The sequence below is a fragment of the Homo sapiens genome, chromosome 15 (genome assembly GCF_000001405.40).
Source record: "Homo sapiens chromosome 15, GRCh38.p14 Primary Assembly".
Lineage (NCBI taxonomy): Eukaryota > Metazoa > Chordata > Mammalia > Primates > Hominidae > Homo > Homo sapiens.
In genome coordinates this window covers 25,455,474-25,479,825 of record NC_000015.10, presented here as the reverse complement: position 1 = coordinate 25,479,825, position 24,352 = coordinate 25,455,474, and the positions used below count along the sequence as shown (strand labels likewise).

Genomic DNA, 24,352 nt, shown 5'->3' with positions numbered 1-24,352 from the left:
ATGCCCATTATCAAACCCGAGAGCTTCAGCACACCCTTCCCTGTGTGTCCTCAGAGTCTACCCTAGGTCTTCATCAGTCCCACCCTGGCATCTGGGACAAGGCCTGATACAGATTAGTAGATGCTCAGTACATTTATGAACAGCCTCTTTGTCCTTCCCCTCCTCATTTGACCAGCTACTAAGTCCTAGCACTAAGAGCTATTCACTACCAATAATTCACATGAACTGTATGAAGGACCCAGATAAGTTGGCAGTGATAATGGAAATTGCAAGGAGTAGCAAAGACGTACTCAAGAGCTGACCTGTGTGAACCTGAAGCCCCTGTTTCTGCTCAGCATCACAGGGGCTTGATGTGTGTAAAGCACATCCCAGGAAGCACATAGGAAACCAACTGTATTATAGTGATTTTTCTTATTTATTTTGTATCCATCTCTACTAAACTAATGCTGGACAAGGGACTCTCATGGGTTTTCTAGCCTTGCCATTTAGCAATAGTGGTCATTTACTTTCTTTCTTTGCCATAATTATATTTCTTATTTATATTTCATTTCTATTACATTCTAAGACATTCTTAAATAATAAAACAACCAAATGTCCAGACTCTCATTCAGAGTGTCTCATGTGCTGAGAAAGCTTCTTGAAGGGACTAGGAACTTGTTGCAGTTTCCATTGTGGGGTTGTGCATGTTTTTTAGACACCTGCGCAGGCACCAGCTTTAGTGGGGAAAAAAAAAAAAAAAAAGGCTTTGTAAGGGCTGTATTCAAAATGCCAGTTAACGCCCATCACCATTTAACAGCAGTTAGGAACACTAACAGTGTACCCTGCATACATTATTACCCAGTTAGATATTTTTATTGCTAGCAGATTCATGTCCCTAAAGAAGGAAAGGAAATGAGGCTTAGATGGGAACACGACAGGCACTGTGCTCAGGAACCAGGCTGTGTGTACAGGGATGCTGAGAGGCAAAGCTCCTGAAACCTTCTTTCCTAAGGGGGATCTGAATACCTCAATGCTACACAGGAAGTGGAGGATGTAGTTCTCTCTGTATTTCATTCACTCTGCAAAGACAAAAAAAAAAACAAAAAGTCTCTAGCAATTTATTGAAATTATCCTGTAATCACAAGGTTAACATCAGCAGTACCATTTTTCTGTACAAAGGAAGAAACTAGGCTTTTAGTTTTATTTTCAGTGAAATCATTAAAACACAACATTCCCCAAGGCCTTTCTACCAGTGGGATCAGCCACAGTGATGTGAAGTGCCGGGTGTCTGGCTTTGTTTGTCAGAGAACTGAGAACACTCAGGGCAAATATTAAGTCACAGATTTTCTGCAGAGTCATCGCTTGCCATGGTCTCTCACCCAGGCAGCTCTGCATTCAGGTGGAGAAGGTGGAAATTAGGGAGTCATTAGTTGGCCTCCATCAAAACAGCATCATTGGTTCACTATGTCTCCAAGTAAAGCATCTACCATGTTTCAGGAACTGGGTTTGGTACAGTGATGAACTACACGAGTAAGGCCACTAGCCTTTCAAAACTCAGAATCTAGTGAGGGGAAGTATCAATAAATTTGTTAAAACATATATAAATTAGGAAATGCACTCTGAAGGAAAATAACAGGAGCTATAAGAGAGAGAATGATAGCTGCTTTAAATCACATTCACAGGCAAGGCCTCTTTCTGATATGGATGCTGTCACACCAAGAACATGACATAGTCCCTTGTGAGGAGGAAGCCTGCGGTGGGGGGCATAAGCTCCAGACAGCTGCAGTGCAAAGGCCTGAGGCAGAAAAGGGCTCTGCACATCAGGAAGCTATACGGAAGCCGGGACCCTAAGGCAGCAGACAGCAAGGAACAGGACAGGGCTGCACGTGACCAGGGGGCAGGAACGGGGCTCTGCAGGCTTTGTTGGAGGGTCTGGATTGGAGCTGACTGGTGAGTTTTGTTTGTTTGGAGGATAATAAGAGTAAATGTGGAGTACTGGGGACAAACACTGGACTGCAGAGAACTGAGGAGAAAGGTGGGGAAACAGGCAACAAGCATGGGGTTTGTTTCTTCGGGAGAAGTCAACTATAAAGGAATGCAGAGAAGAGGTGTTGAGAGAGGATTCTGTTTTCAGTGGGGAAGTGAGCATACTTACAGAGTAGGGAATGACTCAATAAAAATAAATGAATATGGAGAGGATGGTTACTCTCCATGGAGCAGGGAGTATTTCTCAAGGAAGGCCCACCAAATCCTATGGGAAGTTCTCCTGGGGGGGCTAAAGACAAAAATCCCTGGGCAACACCCAGCATCAGAACACAAAGGGGGAAAGGCCCAGAAATTCTCATTTTTCACAACGTCCTTAGTGTAAAAGCTTGGTGCCACCATGGTAGTCTGAGTAGGCCAGCTTCCAACAGGGGAAGGACACTCAATCCTTTGAGACTGGAAGACAATGAGGGCAGATGTAGTACAAGAAATGGCAGATCTGTCAGTGTAGGTGAGAGCAGAGAAAAGCTCACCCCAGAGGGCAAAGAGCCCACTCTCCCAGGCCTGCAGGAACACCAAAAAACACCCCTCTGCTTCTTAGCACTTTCTAACAGTTATGCTGAACGCCAGACAAACCTGATTCTCCTGGGCCCTTCTAAGTGTGTTAATTTGAGTGATGGCTGACCATCCTCTCAAGTGGGTTACAGTAGCCCTTCCCCCTAGGTCAGCGGCACCTGAAATGGATGCCAGAAAGACTGGAACAGAAGAAAACTGAAACTTGGCAGGTGCATGGACTCAGGATTTCTCTCTTCCTCTGTCTGGGCCCTGCTTGGGATACACACAACAGACTCTTGGCTACAGACTGATTCAGATTTAACCAACTGGTGAAGAGCCTATTGATATGGGCTTAGGATTGGTTACGATTTTCTTAGGACTTGGACAGGCTTGAGTGAAAATTAATGTTCTTAGTTTCAGAAGCTGAAAGGAGCTATGGAAAGTGAGAATTAATAGTTTCCCATTATTTTTTAAACACTTCCTCCTAGTTTTTGCATATCATTAATGATTTTCTGTTGAATAACAAAATATGGAAAAATTAACATCTGACTTTCGTGCTGTCGTGATACATTGTATTTATTATTTCAATTTTTCAGAAACATTTTATAAAGAACCAAAACCAAAATAATTTTATCATAACCCTTTTTCTTGATGAGCTTATGATAAAGCACTCCTTTTCCTAGTTTTTCTTCCCAACACTAAAAATTAGCATTTAAAAATAGTCAGAGAAGGCCGGGCACAGTGACTCACGCCTATAATCCCAGCATTTTGGGAGGCCGAGGCGGGTGGATCACCTGAGATCAGGAGTTCCAGACTAGCCCAGCCAACATGGTGAAACCCTGTCTCTACTAAAAATGCAAAAATTAGCTGGGCCTGCTGGTGGGCACCTGTAATCCCAGCTACTCGGAAGGCTGAGGTAGGAGAATCGCATGAATCCAGGAGGTGGAGGCTGCAGTGAACCAAGATCATGCCATTGCACTCCAGCCTGGGGGACAAGAGCGAAACTCCACCTCAAGAAAAAAAAAAAAAGATCAGAGAATGAATAAATACTTCAAAATGAAGAGTAGCTTGTTTTCCTGCTACCTCAAATTTATGGTGTAAAATACATGCACTTAGGATTTATCTTGCAACGAATTTTGCCAGTGTTTAAGGAATTACTCCCTAGTGCCAAGAGTTCATGGCCTGGCTCACCATACAAACTTATGTCAGTCATGTAGGAAACACTGAACAGCCAATACAAATGCATCTTATCACAGCACCTTGATTACAGGTGACAGAGTGATTGCAAGCATTCTGAGTCCAACACAGTTGGGTTTGAACATTTTTTTACCGTTACAATTGTGCTCCTGGAAACTACAAGCCTTATGAAATGGAGAGATGAACAATGTAATTGGGGAATTCAGAGTAAGTTGTTTTTTTTTTTTTGTTTGTTTGTTTTTTGAGATGGGGTTTCACTCTTGTTGCCCAGGTGGGAGTGAGACAGTTTTTAGGCTCACTGCAACCTCCGCCTTCTGGGTTCAAGCAATTCTCCTGCCTCAGCCTTCTGAGTAGCTGGGATTACAGGCATGTGCCACCACGCCCAGCTAATTTTTGTATTTTTAGTAGAGACAGGGTTTCACCATGTTGGTCAGGCTGGTCTTGAACTCCTAACCTCAGGTGATCCACCTGTTTTGGCCTCCCAAAGTGCTGGGATTACAGGCATGAGCCACCGTGCCCAGCCCCCAATAAGTTTTAAAAGCCACAGATAACAGGCATGTATTTGAAAGAAAATGTAAGTTTATTTCTCAGGACAAGTGTTATTCCTCAGCACAATCATTTACAAATATTTTCCAAGGTGCAATTTTGTAATCATAGAGGCACATTGAATTGTTTTCTAAAGTCTCACTTCTCCACAGAGAAGAAACAATATCAATTCACGTGTTTTGCTGATACATGTACTATTTGATATAAAAGAACACATTTTTAACTGAGTACTTCCACTTAAAATCATTTATCATTGGAAGTTCGGGTGAAAATGTATTTCTTTTTTTGGTAAAATAAGACAAAAATTACATGGATCTAGAGCTGCCTACAGTAGTCACTAGCCACATGCAGCTATTTAAATTTAAATTACTTAAAATAAAGATCAAATTAAAAATTCAGTTCCTCAGTCTCACTCCCCACATTTTAAGTGCCCAACAGCAGTGTGTGGTGAGTGCTGCCACATTAGACAACACAGACACAGCTTCCACCCTCTCAGACAGCTCTACTGGACAATGCTGCTCTAGACACAGTGGATGTGGTCTCGTGGCTTCACCCAGGTCTGTTACCTGGAACACGTGAATTGGATCACGTTGTATAGCCTCTATCCAGTGGTCCTCAATCCTGAATGCACAATAGAGCCACCTAGGGAGATTTTAAAGGGCAGATTCTTAGGACCCACCCCTAGGGAATCTGACTTAAATTGGTCTGGAATATGGTTCAGGCATATGCATCTCTTAAAGCTCACAGATAATTCTAATATACTGCTCTAGACTTATGCAAAATTTGTGTATAGTGAAATCAAGTTCAGTAGAATATTCAGAGCAGCTGTAAGGAGGAAGGATCATCAAAAGTTTATACCAAAATTGAGAATAAAACTACTAGACAGAAAATCATCAAAGACATAAAAGAACCAAACAACACAGGACCTATTAGAACCTAATAGATGCCTAAGTACATTCCAATCAGTAATGGCAGAATACTCTCTTTTTTTTTCAAGCACACCTATGAAACATTCACCAAGTGCCTCCCGTTAGACTTGCAAATACTCCATGATCCAAGGACTTCTCAGGGCTCTTAAATGACCAGCTGTGCATTACAACAGTCTAAGGGGGCATCGGGTGCTACCTATCACACAGTCCTCTGTCAACAGCACTCTGTATCCCTGGAGCAATCCAAGAGAACACTCTGGGGGAACACTGCAGATCCTTCCAGAGGCCCCAGAACAGTCCTGTTACAGCACCAAGGCTGTCCTCATACCCCAGTATGGGGGCGACAGCCTCTGAGGAAGTGACAGGGTGGTGTTAGGCCCACGAGAAGCTACTTTCATTGATTAAATGGTAAATCACTTTTTAAACAGCAGCTATATTTCTTCTACATATCATAACAATAAACACTGAAATGGGATAGATAGGTTTTTAAAAATGTACCCACTTTATTCCTTTCCTCATTCCAGAAATAGTGTAATGGCAAATTTACACTCTTCAAGTCTGTCTGAAAATAGCACTCTCTCAGTAAAAGTGAACTTTGTCAGAAAGGGGTCCTTATGCTGATTTTGAAATTGACATTAGCATCTGTCCTGAAGGAAGTGGAAGAGAAACCTCATAAGTCCGTGGCCATATGAGAAGAACGCAGGACCCCTCAGAGCGCTCATCAAATCTGTGGGTATCACGTTAACTTTTGGTGGGTCCAGATTTAAGTTGGGTTTCACCAGTCACATTTGGAAGTTTTTATTCATAAGATCCAATGTTTAAGTCAATCAATTTTCACTTCACTTTTTGCAGGAGCTACAGCAGATGACTGTGGTCGTGTCTTTCACAGGGAGGTGTGGCTCCCTAACGCTCATGGCCATAAAAGTCCCATGGGGGCCGGTAGGTGTATGTCAGTCAGCACATCTGCCACCTTCCTTCATAGGGACCCTAGCAGTCTCCAGCTGCTTTGTATACTCTGGTGCTTATCAGAACCATAAAACCAACCAAAAACTGTGCCAAGCTTTGGGCTGCATTCCAATGGTTGCAGAAGTTCTTACTTGCTTATAAATGCATCTTCTTTCCGTTTCCTAGCAACATAACCTCACACTGAGCCTCCATCAGCCTGTGATCACAAAATGAGGCCACCCTTCTTGGTTTGAAATCAAGCCATCCCTTACCCAGGTCTTCAGCTTCAGCTTCCACCATCCAGACAAACCTATCACATACCTACCTACCCAAAAGAAGCCCCACTCCTCTCACCCCACCCCTGCCCATTATGTGACAACACCAGCCATGCCCAGCCTGCAGTCTTAGGATCCTCCTGGGTGCTCGGTGCTGTCAGAGGTGAGGACAGTGGGCTGCTCCTACTTAATGCCACCTTCAGTCTCATGACCCCCATACAATTCTGCTCTAGAGTCATCTAGTCTTTCTTTGATAGTTTTGTCAACTTCTGACCTCTCTTCTCTACCAAGTCTTCCATAAAAAGTAGCTCTGTTCATTTCCCGTCTCCTTCTAACTGTGGAAACTCAAATCCAGTCTCTGCCCCCCTGACTCAACAAAAACTAACCCCAGTGACAGAATAAAAACTCTTCTGCATAGCAACAGATGCAAACACACACTCAGGGTTCAATGGCATGGGGGCATGTTAGAGAAACATGAGGATTATTTTCCTTCACAACTTCTGGGCTCCAATTCAGCCAGATAAAATCATCCTTTTATAAAAAAACAACAACATTATTTTATTATAAAAATAGTTTCTGTTCATTCTAGAAGAAAGTCTAAAGAAGGAACTACACATTACTTGGCTTCCACTTCCCAGAGATGAATACAATTTATGCTTTTGCGTTTCTTTCATATATGGACAAAACTAGACTCACACTATGTTTCTGGCCATTTCACCTTGAGCATTTTCGTGCTGGTCTTCATCACTTTAAAAATTTTTCTCCCATTAAGAGGGTAAAATGTGCCCATACTTGCATTGAGCAGCTTATGCCATCTTTATTGGAGAGCTAGGATTGGGAAAGTGGTTGCTCTCGTATTGTATCTCATGAAAACTCAGCAAGCCCCTGGCACAGAGAACATGCTCAATAGATATTAGCTATTGTATTAGCCTGTTTTCACACTGCTGATAGAGACATACCTGAGACTGGATAATTTATAAAGAAAAAGAGGTTTAATGGACTCACAGTTCCACCTGGCTAGGGAGGCCTCACAATCATGGCAGAAGGTGAAAGGCACATCTTACATGGCAGCAGGCAAGAGAGAAAAATGAGAACCAAGTAAAAGGGGTTTCCCCTCATGAAACCATTAGCTTTCATGAGACTTATTCACTACCATGAGAACAGTATGGGGGAAACCACTCCCATGATTAAATTATCTCCCACCAGGTCCCTCCCACAACACATGGGAATTATGGGAGCTACAATTCAAGATGAGATTTGTGTGGGGACACAGCCAAACCATATCAGCTACTATTATTTAGCCAATAAATTGACCTTTAGATCTATGAGACAGTTTAAAGAGTAGTTAAACCTTAGTATTTGGGGAATATCCATGAAAATCTCTGTCCCAGCACTAGTTAGTTATCATCTCATTTTTTTTAACCCTCTGAGTAGCCTTCTCCCACCATATAAATGAGACCTCTCAAGATCATCACCTGCTTCTCTCCAGGCCGGCCAGGTGTGGGTTCCTTGGATGCTCAGCCAGGGCTCATTGTGCTTATCTGGCTTGTTTTCTGTCCTAAAGTTTCTTTTGATGACAATGATACTACCTCAAATGAGGATGGGTACGGTTTGTATAACAGAGGCTACCTAGGCTCACAGGCTTTGATAAATACCAAGGTTAGCCAATGGAATGAGGAGCCAATCTTAGAATAAACCTATGCTCTCTACCTCAGAGGATGTCTAAATGGGCTAAGTCATACATCTGAAAGTCTTGTTCACATTTGAAATCAGATTCACTCTCGAGCACACAGATCCTTCACAAGCTGCCTTCCTGATTAACTTCTCCAGTTTCATCACTTGGTAGTAGCCCACCTCCAGCCAATACCCTCTCATATCTCCACGCCTTTTCATATGCTGTTCCATCTGCCTGGAGTCTCCCTGCCCACCCACTTCCCCCGATCCCACCCCCAACAACCACTCCTGCTTTGGAACTGGCCTCCAATTCTCGCTGCCCCAGGAAGCCTCCCTACACTCTCTTGCTCCCCTAACTTCTGTCTCCTCTTTGCTCTCCCTGTGCACAGGCTACTTTCACAGCATGCAGGATTTTTATTGTATTTGAGCACATTTTTCTGTAGACTGCCTGTTTCTGAAAGATGAGAATAGTTCTTTTAAATTTTGTATTCCCAGCACCTAAAAGAGTGTCTAGTACATAGAAAAGGACCAAAACTTGTTGAATATGTGAATAGGCACACACAGTATTTTCTCTATATAGGTGGAATAGATCTTGAAGAATTGTGGCATGTATTACTTTTATAATCTGAAAACAAAATTTTAATAAAAATGTCCAATGTAACCATTTAAAATGTTTATTTTTATTTTAAATAAAATGACTATAATCTATAAACTATAATTATTTGTGACATATGCAGAGTTCATCCCTAAGTTGGATGATTGCCTTAAGTCTTATGGCATTTTTTGCACTTAGGGTTCAAAAATCTATTTTTCTAGAAACAAGCATATAAAAAATAGCATAACTAACCATCACCACATGGCAATCCAAGCACATCCCCACATAAATCTACCCTTTCTAACCTCAAATTTTCCCAATAGTCCTCACTGAAGACAAAGAAGTTTGTTCCGAAGCCTTTTTTATTTTCTGGAAGCACGCCTTTCCGACTTCCCGTTCTGCCCACTATCACCTGTTCAAGTCACATCCTGCACAGTTCTTTTCAGAAATATAAGAAGGTGTATGTTGGTGAAGTTTTTGTGTACTCAGGTAGACATTAAACTTAGCTAACTGTTCTCTTTGAGATTCTGAAAAAAGATTATTTAATTAAATCAATACCTTCTTCAAACATGCTCTAATAGACACTTCTGCTGACTCAAGGACAAAGACCAGGATGACTTTCAAATGGATTCTAGTGAAAGAGAACCCCAATGGCTCTGTTCTACAGAGGCTGACATTGACAGGTGTGACTTTTTATGGTGAGGTTCTCAGGCAGGACTGACTCTGCCAAGCCTGTTACTAGAATGTCCCTCTTGAGGCAATGATGCATTCCAGAGCAACCTTATGGCCTAGGCTGGTTCTCTTCTCTGGATCTATCAGTTCCAAGCATTATTTGACATAGTCGTTGATTTAGACAACAACATATACTCTGTGCTGACCCTGACCTTTGCAAGTCATGGGACACTATATCATTCAATCAACAGAAAACTGAAGAATGGTTTTCTGTTTCTTGCAGCTCCATTACAGATTTTAGTATGGTGTTCTTAATACATCTCTAACCTCTTCACCTCTTATTTTAAAATTCTTTGGCTGGGTGCAGTGGCTCACACCTGTAATCCCTAGCACTTTGGGAGGCCGAAGCGCATGGATCACGAGGTCAGGAGATCGAGACCATCCTGGCTAACACGGTGAAACCCCATCTCTACTAAAAATACAAACAAATTAGCCAGGCATGGTGGTGGGCACCTGTAGTCCCAGCTACTCGGGAGGCTGAGGTGGGAGAATGGCGTGAACCCAGGAGGTGGAGCTTGCAGTGAGCCGAGATCGCACCACTGTACTCCAGCCTGGGTGACAGAGCAAGACTCCATATCCAAAAAAAAATATTCTTCAGTGGCCCTGTTTGCTGTTGTTTCTTCTCCAACAGGAAAAAGTATAATCCACCAATAAAAGACACCATGGCCAGGCCAGAAGTAACAGCTCAGAGAATGTGCCCACAGACACACCCTTCCTGTAGGCTGGTCCTGTCTTCTCCACATTGGGTCTAATGGAATTATTTGGGGATTATTTGTAAGGGTGGAAGGGACATTAGACACCCCGCATTCTCTCCTGCTCTCTGTGTCAGTTGTTGGCAGTGTTCCTTGGCAGAAGATCAAGGAAATGTGTCATGTTCTTAGCTAGCTGGTTGATGTCAGGATTTATTCCCTGGGCACTGCTTTCAGTAACATGCCAAATGCAATGACCTCACTTACTATTCCCTAAAATATATGCTGGGGATTCAGATTTGATTATACACAATGGTCAAATCCAATTCAAGTGAAACTCCACATAATACAAAACATCCCTGAGACTTAGCTGTCAATCTAAACTTTCTCAAGTAATATTTGATACAATAGAATTTGAGCACAAAAAAAATAATTTGGACAATCCTTTGAGCTTTATGGGTGTTTTCAAGGCCTTTTCCATTGGCACTACCCTCAAATTTTACATTATAAAAATGACATGCTTGATTTCTTTTTTCTTCCTATTGGGGTATTTAGGATTGGATACAACATTTAGACCATATTATACTTGCCTTCTGGCACTAACACTCTAATCATTTTCTTCCTCCCAATTCTCCATCGGGAAACATGTCCACACACATGCCAGGGGCCACCTGCACAGCACTCCTCTCCTGCCTGAGCTCACGATCTTATCACAGATGCTCCCACCTCCCTCAGGCAGTCCGAAAATAATAATTCACAGTTCATAATCACACAAGCTCACTGGCTACCATTTCCACGAGGCTGCGCAAACACAGAGCCGGAGGAAACACAGAGCCTGAGGACGTGATCTGTGTGCTGGCCGGCCAGGGCCCGCCAAGATGGCGGCCTCATGCTCTCAAAACTTTTGACATGATCTCTGACTCTCTCCTTTTTGTCCAGCTGTCCCGTCAGTCACCCATACTGGCAGTTCTGTCAAAATGCTCTCTGCATTTCTTCTCTCCAACTGCATAGCTCCTTACCTGATTCAGAACCACTTCGCTTTGCTCCAGTAACATTCCCCAAATGGCTGACTCCAGGCTCTCCTTTGAACCTGCAATGAGTGCTTCTGCTTTCCTCATACCCCTGCTTTATCAAAAGTCAGGGCTTCTTTTTTTTTTCTTTCTCCAGACAGAGTCTCACTCTGTCGGCAGGCTGGAAAGCAGTGGCGCGATCTCTGCTCACTGCAACCTCCCCCTTCTGGGTTCAAGCAATTCTCCCGCCTCAGCCTCCCGAACAGCTGGGACTACAGGCACGCGCCACCACGCCCAGCTAATTTTTGTATTTTTATTAGAGACAGGGTTTCACTGTGTTGGCCAGGATGGTCTCTATCTCTTGACCTCAGGTGATACGCTTGCGTCGGCCTCTCAAAGTGCTGGGATTACAGGCGTGAGCCACCGCCCCCGGCCAAGTCAGGGCTTCTTAATTCCACTGTTTAACTGTATATTCCTCTGCTTAGACCAAGCCCACCCCAATCTGATCCAATGACTGAACCTTATATCTTTCCTGCTTTGCAGGATGCACCTCTGTTCCATCAGCCCAGCCACCTCACCACTGATCAGCCATCATTTCACTTTGTACTTAGTATCTGATGTGGACTGCATAGCTCATACGTGTATGAAACTCTCCATTCAGCTCTGGGAACTGTGCCTCTGAGAAAAAGAGTCCTCAGTGACCACTCAGCAGTTTCTCCTTAAGTCAGCCTTGCTGCTCATCTAAGTCTCATCTTTCATTCCTGCCCTGTCCTCTGCTGAGCTCTTCCCTGCTTTCAATACTAAGGCTCTGCTTTTCACTTCAATTTGGATAGCTGTATCCTTCTCCAGCCTTCCCCTAGCATTTTGGTTTCATGTTTTTCCCATGCTAGTCCCACTTCTAGCCCTTCAAGTGTTTGGAGAGCTGTCATTTGAGGCAACCAGCAAGGCAGGGCCAAGTCGTGCTCCCTGGCGGCTCCCTGAGCCATAAGTCTCTGTCCTCAGCGTGTGGACAGCACCCTTGCATCACCTGCCCAGCTCCTTGAGCTTCTCTGTCCTCTAAATCCTGACCATGCCCTGTTCTGGCACTTGCAGGGGCTACCCCCTTTACCTAGGATGAGTTGTCCTTTCTTCATCCATATCCCAATTGCAACTACACTTCAATGACAAGTCAGATCTTCTCCCAAGTGCCTACCTTCCTACAATCTGTACTCAAGCTCCCAAAGAGGGCCTTCTCCTCAAAACTGTGGCACCTGTAGTCTGTACAGACTTATTTAACACTTCGCTTATTTATTCTAAAAGGCAGTATTTGTTATGCACGTACTTGACATGAGTCACTGTGTAAGGCACCAAGGGGAAAAAAAAGGCCAATACCATCCTCCACCATGAAAAAGTATCATCCTCTGGGAGAGAATGTGGTCCAGGATAACAGATGAATAACCAGCTAAGGGAAGTTTGCCTCAGGTCAGCCTTCCTGAGCTGAGCCTGCATCTGCACCAAAAGAAGAACTTGGGCCAGCAGAGTCCGCTCCACATGCCACACCACTGCCATAACCACTGTGCTAAAAACTTTCTCAAAACTCCATCCGGGCACTCCAAAGTCTAACTTCTTTATTTTTAAGGCCTTTTTCTGTTGGCCCCAGCCTATGCTCCAGCCTCATGCCCACACTTTGCCCTCACACATCCTGCATCTCTGACCCGCAGAACCCAAGCACTCCCCAGATACACCCAGCACTGTGTGATTCTGGATCTTGCACATGCTTTGCATACAGCAGAATTTCTGGATCATCCTTCAAGATCTAAATTAAATATCCCTTTCTTGTGAAAACTCCCCAAATACTCCTGCAGAACTATTTACTCCTTACCGTCCCAAAATGACCTTTATCCACTCTCAGTCAAGTAACTACTACCACTTACCTATGAACATATTCCTCTACCATTGAACTATGAGCTCTTTGGGGACCAAGCATATGTGCTTATGTGTGGCGCCTACCACAGTTCCTTATCACAGTAGATGCTGCTTAATGGGCTAGGCCTCGCCAGAGAGGAATTGGACCTGGAAATTTTATATGCCAACTCTACTTGTGGCCAGTGCTTCCAGTATCCCTAGAGCTGTTCAGTGAAAAACATGGTCTCATTTTGAAATAAGCATGGGAACAGCACTTAATTACAGTTCTGAACTTGGAGAACTGTAATACATGAAAACATGTTAAAAGCTCTACAAAGTCACATCTTAAGAAAACTACCTATATATAACTAAATGTCGCCTACATTTATTTAATCACCCCACACCCAGTGCCTAGTAACACCCTGCAGACCACACTTTGGGAACCCCTGGGACACAGACTGTAAAGTGGCCTGGATTTGGATGATTGAGGACAAGGTTCCAGGTCTGGAGGGTCACACGTGAAGCAGGGGCCACATTCCTAGCAGTTGTCCACATGTGGAGGTCAAGATCCGTTCTGGAAGGCAGGCAAACAGGGTCATGGTGAAGCTTGGAGCAGGCATTTATGCAGCTGCTCAGGCAGGTGCACAAGGTAGCAGTTTCAGCTGCTAACCTGTGGTGCTGGCAGAGAATTTCAGGCTCTGAGAGAACTGCCAAGAGTAGCTGTGCCCCAGTTCCTGAAGTGGGTTAGAAGATGGGAATTAGTCACCAGAACATGGCAAGAACCCAGGTACTGAACCTGGGGCACAAAGTCAAAGGAAAACTGCAACAAGGTCCCATCAAGGCATGCAAGGCATTGGAGAGGTCTGGGCTCTGAGCCAGAGAGAATTTTGGCTAGGCGCCTAGGAGGCTGGGTAGGTTGTTACAGTCTAAGGACAAGCACAAATCCTCAGGTGGGTCAGTGAGGAATCCCTCCAGAGCAAGTGGTCATTTGGCTACAGCCCAAGACAGGTTGAAAAAAGCCAAAACGAAGAGTGAAAGAGTACGCTGGGGCCATTTCATGGATGCTTGGATTTTCTCCTGTCCACATGACTTGAAGGGAGAGGAACTGTACTTGTGGAGGGTGCAAAAAGGCTTGGAACACAAGAGACAATGACCCTGCACACAACAAGCTGACAGTGGGTTTTCTTTGGTTAGGCAATAAGAAGGGGAAATGGGAAGTCTGGGAGAGAGAACTGACAGAATCTGGCAACTGATTCAATGTAGAATCGAGATTTTTAAACTAGGAGGATGTCAGAAGTGTTATTATGGAAAGGGAGACCATTTGACTTAGGCATCAGGGGACCAGTCTCAGCCAGTAAAAATTGTGTGATGTTGGAAAAATCAGGCCTCACTTCTTTAGGTCTCAGTTTCTTCATCTGTAAAATGGGGCTAACAATGCTATGCACCTGACAGAGCTGCTGTGAGAATCAAAAATGTAAAGCTCTTGGCACTGTCCCTGGCACATGATAAACCCCTGCTGCTGAGAGTTTAAAACAATTTGTTGATCAAAACATCTCCATCACAAGGAGAACCTGATTAGGGAATTTAAAAAACGATATGTCTCAGTTTAGACATTTTTAGTAGAGGTAGTGGCTCTATGGAGCACACATCTGGAAATACAGGCCTGGCACGTGGGGGAGAGACTAGAGGAAAGCTAAAGGCTGGGAAATGATCTTCATCAACGTAATTGCCACAGCCTTGAAAAAAAAATGCAATCCCCATAGCAGAGACAACTGACAAAAGAAGAAAGAAAGAAATCTAACAGCAAACCACAGTGACTGTTTAAATTTCAGAGTGACAAAAGACACTAGGGACCAAGGAGGATCTCTGTGGTTAACACAGGATCAGCACAGAATCAAAGTACTTGAGGAGCTGAGATGCTGCCTGAAAAATGAGAAGCTTTTAAGAGTATTACAGGATGGACCAAGTTCTAAGAAGATCAAGACTGAGAGAGTGTAATTAGGGCTTGCCTATTAAGATGTTACTAGCAAGCTTTGGGAAAGCATTCTCAGAAAAGTGGCAGAAAACTAAAAGATTAAGAACAGGTATTTGGCAGAGAACCAAAGATTAGGCTAGTGTCTAATCTTGAGCTCGAGTCTGTTACTGAAAGACAGGAAAAAAGAAGATGGAATAGTAACTCAAGAAGGTAAAAGATCAAATTCCACCCAGCAACTTCCACTTATATCTTATTGGTTGAAACCATATCATGTGGCTACCCCTAGTTGCAAGGGAGGCTGGGAAATGTTTTTTTAAAATTTGGCACAACATGGCCATAATTAATGTTGGAGTTCTGATGGTAAGAAAGTGAAGATGACTGGGGAATTAGTATGCAAGTATGTTTCATAGTAGAATGAAGTATGTACTATAATTACATTTCAATCTTTGAAGGGACAATGTCATAAATCTTGTGCCTCTCAAAACAGAGAACTATTCTAACATCAGGAAAATAGATTCAAATATCTTACATTCTATCAGTTGCCCCAGGTATGCTCCATTTTAGATGAATTCATAATTGTAGTATGATCTTCTACAGTTTTTATGTTCCTGAAATTTTTCATTGTCTTATCTTTTTTCTTGTTGAGAAAAGACTTCCAATAATTTCCAACATTTTCCTCGTTCCACTTATTGCTTAGAGTCAATCCACTTTTTCTTGACAATATTCTTCCTAGAGCTCACTAATATCCTAACATGGCCTCATAATTTCTCTCTTCCTCCTTCCCTCCCTCCCTTTCTTTCTCCTTTCCTTGCTTTGTTATTCTCTCTCTCTCTCTCCCCGTCTCATTCTCTTTTCTCCTATTCTGAAGGACCTGAGGCCACAGAGCTGAGTTAATGACAAAATTTACATATATTGATATATTAGTTGGCTATTTTTAATAACACTCACCTACAAACTCATCATCTGAACAAAAGCCAGAACCTTTACAAAGATCACACATATATCCATCTGAACCCCTCTCATCCAGATCTGCCATCCAACACCCCATGGAAGGTAACCAGCAATCTGAATTCCCTGTGCATCATTCCCAACTATTCCATTTAATATTTTTCATCACATCTCAACATATTCTTATGCAAAAAATACAGTCTTTATTTGGGCTTTCTGAGGAAACCTGAGACAAGGATTTAAATGAAAATAGCCCATTTGGGAAGTAATAACGCCAATAGAGAAGTGGAGAGGGGATACAGGACAGGAACTACAGCTAATAAAGGGTATTCAATTATTCCAGCTATCCCAGTGGATGAATGAGGGCTGAAGATCCCATGGAAAGCACTGAGAAATGGTGCAAACACTTGTCTCAGAATTATTCTATCCAAAGAGTGGGGCAGTGGATTTATTTTTGCACTAACTCCAACAAATCACAGGTTGAGGGATGTTGCTGGAGAGTGTTAATTCCTTAGTATTCCTGGCCTGCTTTTGGGTAAAATGGTATTTCAGTGAGACCTCATTTTGCATTTTTCTCATAATAATATTCACGTATTTAATGTCACATATTTACTGCTCTCATGTGCTTCTCTTCTTAACAGTATTTTCATGTTGTCTATGTTTTCCCTTGAGTTGTGTTTTCCTCATTGATATGTAGGAGCTATTTAATACCAATTATTTATTGATCATGTACATGGCAACTATCTCCCAATTTATTTCTTAACTTTCAGGTCCTTTAAGGGGTATTTTGATGAATAAAGTTCTTTATTTTACTTTAGCCCACATTATCAATACTTCATTTTATAGTCAACAATTCTATGTTTTGTTTAAGTTACTTCTCCAAGTTTTAAAATACTGACCTATATTTTTTGTATGGGTTTCAAAGTTTTGTTTTTGAAAGTCTTTAACTTAAATGAAGTTTATTTTGTAATTAGGTGAGGTTGGGATACACCTCCAACTTCTTCCACTTGGAGAAGCATTGTTTTCAGTTCCATCTTTCAGCTCCTTTCTCTACTGATAATATGCCACCTTTTTCTTATCCCCAGTGCCAAACATATGGGAATCTATTTCTGGGCTCCCTACGTATTTCCATTGATCGGTGAACTAATACCACTACTGTCTCAATTACTCTAGTTTCATAGTAAATCCTGACAACCAGCAAGGGAAGTGTCCTTTCCTGACGAAATATTTTAACTATTTCAGCCCTTAACTCTTCCATCTAGGATTATCACATGCTATGAAAAACACTGTTGAGGTTTTGATTGGAATTATTTTCAATTTATAGATCAATTTGGAAAGAACTGAGATATTATTCTATTAAAATTCCTATTCAAGGCCAGATGAGCTATCTATTTACTTGAGCCTTGTTTAATATCTCATAATAGAGCTTTAACATTTTCCTTGTAGAGCTAATCAGGTTTGCTGTATAACAAACAACCTCAAATTTTCAGTGACTTACAAAATAAGTATTTATTACTAGATACTTAAAGTTCTCTGATGCTATTATAAAGAGTATTTTTTCTTTACATTTTCTAGTTGTTTGCTGCTGGTGTATAGAAATGCAGCTAACATTTGTATATTAATCTTATTATTTCAAATAATGATTATTTTAGACTGATTATGTAAATGACCACACCATCTGCAAATATCAGTCATGCATCATGTAACAATGGGGATGCTTTCTGAGAAACGCATTGTTAGGTGATTTTGTTGTTGTGTGAACATCATAGAGTGTGCTTACACAAACCTAGGTGGTAGAGTCTACTACACACCCAGGCTATATGGTGTAGCCTATTGCTGCTAGGCTACAAACATGTACATCATGTTACTGTACTGAATACTGTAAGCAACTGTAACACAATAGTAATTGTGTATCTAAATACCTCTAAACATAGAAAAGGTACAGTAAAAATACAGTATAAAAGATTTTTAAAATGCTACACCTGTATAGAGCACTCACATGAATGGAGCTTGTAGGACTGGAAGCTGCTCTTGGGTGACTGAGTGGTGAGTGCATGTGAAGGTGTAGGATGTTACTGTATACTATTGTAAACTTTATAAACACTGCATACTTTGGCTACACTAAATTTATCTCTAAGGTATTTTTCTTTCTTCAATAATAAATCTTAGCTTACTGTAACTTTTTTACTTTATAAACTTTAAAATTATTAAACACGTTTTCCTCTTGTAATAATACTTAGCTTAAAACACAAACACATTGTACTGCTGTACAAAAATATTTTACTTATTTATTGCCTTATTCTATCAGCTTTTTTCTATCTTTAATTAAAAATTTTTTTTTTTACTTTTTAAACTTCTTTGTTAAAAACTAAGACATAAACACACACGTTAACCTAGGCCCAAACAGGGTCAGGATCATCAATAGCACTCTCTTCTACCTCTGCATCTTGTCACACTGGCAGGTTTTCAGGGGCAATAACATGCTGGGAGCTGTCATCTCCTATGCTAACAATGGCTTCTTCTGAATACCTCCTGAAGGACCTGCCTGAGACTGTTTTACAGTTAACGTGTTTTTATAAGTAGAAAGAGTATACTGTAAAGTAATAATTAAAAGTATAGTACAGAAAGTACATAGCCCAGTAACATGGTCATTTATTGTCAAGTGTTATGATCTGTACACCACTGTATATGCAATAATTTTAAAAGATTGGCAACATGGTAGGTTTGTTTACACCAGCATCACCACAAACGCATGAGAAATATGTTGTGCTACAACTTTACCATGGCTGTGACATAATTAGACAATACAGATTTTTCAGCTTCGTTATAATCTTATGGGACTACAGTTCTATACGCAGTGCATCATTGACCAAAAAGTTATTATGTGATTATGTGGTGCATGACTTTAATGACAATTTACTTCCTCCTCTCAGTCCTTATACTTGTAATTACTTTTTCTTGTCTTGTTGCACTGGTAAGGCTGCCAAGGCAATGTTGACTAGAAGTGGTTATAATGAATACCCGTATTTCTTTTGTCATTATAAAGATATGCTTTTAATATCCCTATGCAGAATATTGCCTTTTAGATTTTTAAATAAACACATTCTATCAAGTTAAGAAATTTGCTACTTTTAAATAAATAAATACATACATATATATGTTAAATTTAATATAATACTTCTTCTGGTATAGATTAAGATGGTTATATGGCTTCCTCCTCTCCTCTTTTTATTTTTTTAAGAGATGGAGTTTCCAAAACAGAGATATAGATCAATGGAACAGAACAGAGCCCTCAGAAATAACGCTGCATATCTACAAATATCCAATCTTTGACAAACCTGACAAAAACAAGCAATGGGGAAAGGATTCCCTATTTAATAAATGGTGCTGGGAAAACTGACTAGCCATATGTAGAAAGCTGAAACTGGATCCCTTCCTTACACCTTATACAAAAATTAATTCAAGATGGATTAAAGACTTAAACGTTAGACCTGAAACCATAAACACCCTAGAAGAAAATCTAGGCATTACCATTCAGGACATAGGCATGGGCAAGAACTTCATGTCTAAAACACCAAAAGCAATGGCAACAAAAGACAAAATTGACAAATGGGATCTAATTAAACTAAAGAGCTTCTGCACAGCAAAAGAAACTACCATCAGAGTGAACAGGCAACCTACAAAATGGGAGAAAATTTTCGCAACCTACTCATCTGACAAAGGGCTGATGTCCAGAATCTACAATGAACTCAAACAAATTTACAAGAAAAAAACAACCCCATCAAAAAGTGGGTGAAGGACATGAACAGACACTTCTCAAAAGAAGACATTAATGCAGCCAAAAAACACATGAAAAAATGCTCACCATCACTGGCCATCAGAGAAATGCAAATCAAAACCACAATGAGATACCATCTCACACCAGTTAGAGTGGCAGTCATTAAAAAGTCAGGAAACAACAGGTGCTGGAGAGGATGTGGAGAAATAGGAACACTTTTACACTGTTGGTGGGACTGTAAACTAGTTCAACCATTGTGGAAGTCAGTGTGGTGATTCCTCAGGGATCTAGAACTAGAAATACCATTTGACCCAGCCATCCCATTACTGGGTATATACCCAAAGGACTATAAATCATGCTGCTATAAAGACACATGCACACGTATGTTTATTGCGGCTCTATTCACAATAGCAAAGACTTGGAACCAACCCAAATGTCCAACAATGATAGACTGGATTAAGAAAATGTGGCACATATACACCATGGAATACTATGCAGCCATAAAAAATGATGAGTTCATGTCCTTTGTAGGGACATGGATGAAATTGGAAATCATCATTCTCAGTAAACTATCGCAAGAACAAAAAACCAAACACCACATATTCTCACTCATAGGTGGGAATTGAACAATGAGAACACATGGACACAGGAAGGGGAACATCACACTCTGGGGACTGTTGTGGGGTGGGAGGAGGGGGGAGGGATAGCAGATAGCATTAAGAGATATACCTAATGCTAAATGACGAGTTAATGGGTGCAGCACACCAGCATGGCACATGTATACCTATGTAACTAACCTGCACATTGTGCACATGTACCCTAAAACTTAAAGTATAATAATAATAAAATTAAAAAAAATTAAAAAAAAAAAAGAGACGGAGTTTTGCTCTATCACCCAGGCTGAAGTGCAGTGGTGTGATTATAGCTCACTCCAGCCTCCAACTCCTGGGCTCAAGTGATCCTCCTGCCTCAGCCTCCTGAGTAGTTGGGACCACAAGTACACGCTATCATGCCCAGCTTTTTCCCCCTTTCATGTTAGTGCAGTAAACTATATTTACAGATTTAATATTAAATCATCCTTACATAGCTGAAATAAACTCAAATTAGTCATAGCATATTACCTTTTGTATCCTTTGTTAGATTTGAGTTGCTTGTATTTATTTAGGATTATTGCATCTATATCAGTGAGTAAAGTGAGCTGATAATTTTTTTATAATGTCTTTGCCACCTGTAAAACTAAGCTATAAAACCATTTGACCCTAATTTTTTTGTGTGAATATTGTTAACCATTGCTTCAATCTCTTTAATAATGATAGTCTATTTTTAAAACATTTGTTATAATTTTTATATATTTTCAAAAGTTATAAAGTTGTGTATTATTTTATTTTCTATAATTTAGTCAATATTTTTTGTTTTTAATTTACATGCATATTCTAACTATATTTACAAAAATGAGGCCTTGTAGTTTTTAAGTTTTATACAAAATGAGTTTTGTGGTTTTTATCAGTTGTTTTTAAAGCTTTCAGTATATTATGAACGGCTTCCCTGGTCTTGTTCAACACTGAAAATAATTTCATATTATGAAGAAATAAATTTAACATCTAATCATTTGGGAGCTAGACATTTCACCTCTTTACAACAGAATTTAATACTTTGAGTACCAGGAGAAGTCCCAGCTATAAACACATTGTAATCTGTTCTTTTATAGTTTCATACGTATTACGCTTTGGAAATTTTTCTTTCAACTTAACCGTTTACCTTGTTATTCTGTATTATTGAATCACCAGTTTAAAATATTTTGAAGCTATTTTGTTAAGTACACACATGTTTAAAACAGAGGTATCAACTTGGTGTGTTGAATGACCTTTTCTATCTAATAATACGAAAAAGAATAGGACTTAAGACCATAAGCACTAATAGGGTTGGAAGGGATCACTACATAATGAGAAAAGGTTGGTGTTTGACATCCTTATACTTTCATCCTTATAGTTTCAACTTTTGCATGTTCATGTTTTTTTGACTGTAGGTTTCCTTCATTTACATATATTGACAGTACTGATGTATTTGGATCTGGTTAGTGGATAATGGATCTGCCCAGATTCTTGTGGATCCTTTTCAGCCATTTTTGCTTAGCCCCCACTGTCAGGGAGTTTTTTATTTCCTACAGCTATCACTTGCCACTGTTTAAAGTAACTGTCTCAGTCTCCTAGTCCCCCAGACCCTCTGGAGGTACCCAGGAAGAATTCATCAGTGAATGATGGGGGTGAGAACATAGAAGCCATAAACACACACTCCAGAGTTGCTCTTCCAGGTCACCCGAAGCCACCACTGCATGTTCATGAGGTTGTGCCTTGCTTCGCTTTGTTCCTGTCCATGTTCTGTTTCACCCACTCCATTACCAGTTTCCCCTGGGAGCATTTCTTTAGTAAAACATTTATACAAGTATTCTCATCTTACAGTGTGCTTTTAGGGAATCTCAAAACCCATTTTTACAATCTTAGTTTACTATTTCAGTTCTCTCCCACTTTTTCCATCATTTAATTTGTCTTCCTTTTTTTTGCGGGGGAGGGGGGATATTGACATCTATGTCTCTTTCACTCCCAGTGAAGAAAGAATCTTAGTACACTTTCAAATAACTCCAACTCCTCACTCTTTATGTTGGTAATGTCGGTTTAAAATTCAGAGTTATTATAAATACATTTTTGTCTTTTTATTTAATCTTACTTTTTAGAGAAAGCAATAAATGTTACCAAAGAATGAAAAACCCAGTTCCTTCATCTATGTCCTGCAGCATCTCCTGGATTTTTTCTCTCCACTTATATAAATATTTCACCCCTAAATATTCCCAAGTCAGATCTCCGTGTGGCAAACCTCCTGAGGCCTTCCATGCCTGAGAATATCTTATCACATCTCTGAATTTGAATGACATTTTGTCTGGATATAAAATTCTAGATTCTAAGTTACCAATGTGTTGAAAATCCTACTTTGTTGTCTTTTGCATCGAGTTGATAGCAAAAGAGATCTGATATCGATGTGATTCTTGGGCTTGTGATTCATTTTGTCTCTGAAGCCTTCACATTTCTCTTTGCCTTTGTTATTAAATCATACTATAAAGAGTCTGGTTGTGATTTCCTTCTCTCGCCTCTTGGACACTCTCTATGAGTTCTTTGAAACAGAAGTCTTTCATCTTTATTTAATCTGGGAAAACTTATCTCCATTATTTCTTCAACTACTTCTTTATCTCCATTTATATTTTCTTTCTGAGACACCTATTATCTGAGTACTACCACTTCTATTCCACTCCATATCTTTTTGGCTTTGTATACAATATTTTTTTTGTTTTTTCCCTTTGCAGAGATTTTTTCAATTTGTCTTCTAATTCATTAATTCAATCCTCCAACACATCCAGTCTGCTACTCATCCAATGATAGTATTCTTTAAGTATTATTTTTGATACCTACTATTCTGCTTAGTTCATTTTAGTGTTTTAATTGTTCTTGCTTAATATTACTAATTTTGTTCCTTATCTCATTTAGTATATTTATTGGCCTAATTTACCTTTTTTGTCCTCTTAACATTTTTTGCGTTGGACAGAATCTAAAATCGAGCATGTTACTTTCAGTTTTGAAACAGCCCTTTCAAATGATTTATTTCTGTGTAGGTGCATGAACCTTTGAAGCTTTGGAGAATCTGCTGGGCTATGTGGAAGGTAAGAGCCCCAGCTTGCCTGAACCCTAGAGTGGGAGGTGAACATGCCCAGAGAGGAGGACCCTGAATGCTACAAACTACAATCACTGCCCACAGTCAGAGAGCTTTATCCCTGTCCCCAGGAAGAACCACAATTGGTTTTCTTGTAATCTTTCTACAGATGTTTGTCTTTCTTTTCACTACTGTAGTTGTAATCCTTGCTTCTCCTTCCCGCCATTGTTTATTGATAGCTCTGCCACAGTGTGGTCCAAAGAATATCTGCATTAAAGTCTCCTTTGGGTGCTTATTAAAAATGCAGTTTCCTGGTCTCTACTTCAAGCCTATTAATCCAAGCTCTCTAAGTGGAGCCAGGGAAACTGAATGTTAACAAACTATCCAGGAGAGTCATATAGATATTAACAATTCAAAATTGTCATTAGTCCTTACTGTTATTTTTGCCCTTTAGCAGCCTTATTAAGGGAGTTGGAGAACTCCTAAAGTAGGACTAAACTTAAACTGTATGACTTAAACAAGATTTTAATGTATTACTGATACCATTGATTTATGCTATGCCTAGGCCCCATTAATATAAATAAGCAGGGATGAGTCTAGTGTACTTCTTGCAAGGGGCCAAATGACTTCAATAATCTTAAATTTAAAAAAAAGTCTTAAATCCCACTAGTCCTCATCACATGCCCTCTTAGCAAACACGTATTGATAGAAAAATAAGGAAAGTCCCTCTTCACACGTGCCCACTTCCCCTTTGACCTTTGTCATGTTTGAAACAGCACAAAAGCCCTCACCAGAAGCTGAGCAGATGTCAGTGCCTTGCTTCCTATACAGCCTGCAGAACCTTGAGTTAAATAGACCTTTCTCTATAAATTACCCAGTCTCAGGTATTTGTAGCAACACAAAATGGACTACGATAGAAAGTGTGGATTATTTTGTGTTGATGAATCATACTGTCTAGT

At 40.5% G+C, this 24,352-nt stretch overlaps 1 long non-coding RNA gene across 2 annotated transcripts in view; it reads left to right on the top strand.

The window, feature by feature from the left end:
* Positions 1 to 23,555, top strand: part of LINC02250 (long intergenic non-protein coding RNA 2250) — a 122,536-nt gene extending 98,981 nt beyond the window's left edge. Inside the window, exons 5-7 of one of the 2 annotated variants that reach the window (NR_187214.1) lie at positions 1,662 to 1,929; positions 5,714 to 5,918; positions 6,042 to 6,243. This is a non-coding gene — a long non-coding RNA (long intergenic non-protein coding RNA 2250). Of the gene's footprint in view, positions 1 to 1,661; positions 1,930 to 5,713; positions 5,919 to 6,041; positions 6,244 to 23,355 lie in introns of those variants that run through there. The other variant, NR_187215.1, reaches the window with a different exon arrangement.
* The last annotated feature ends 797 nt before the right edge of the window (positions 23,556 to 24,352 follow it).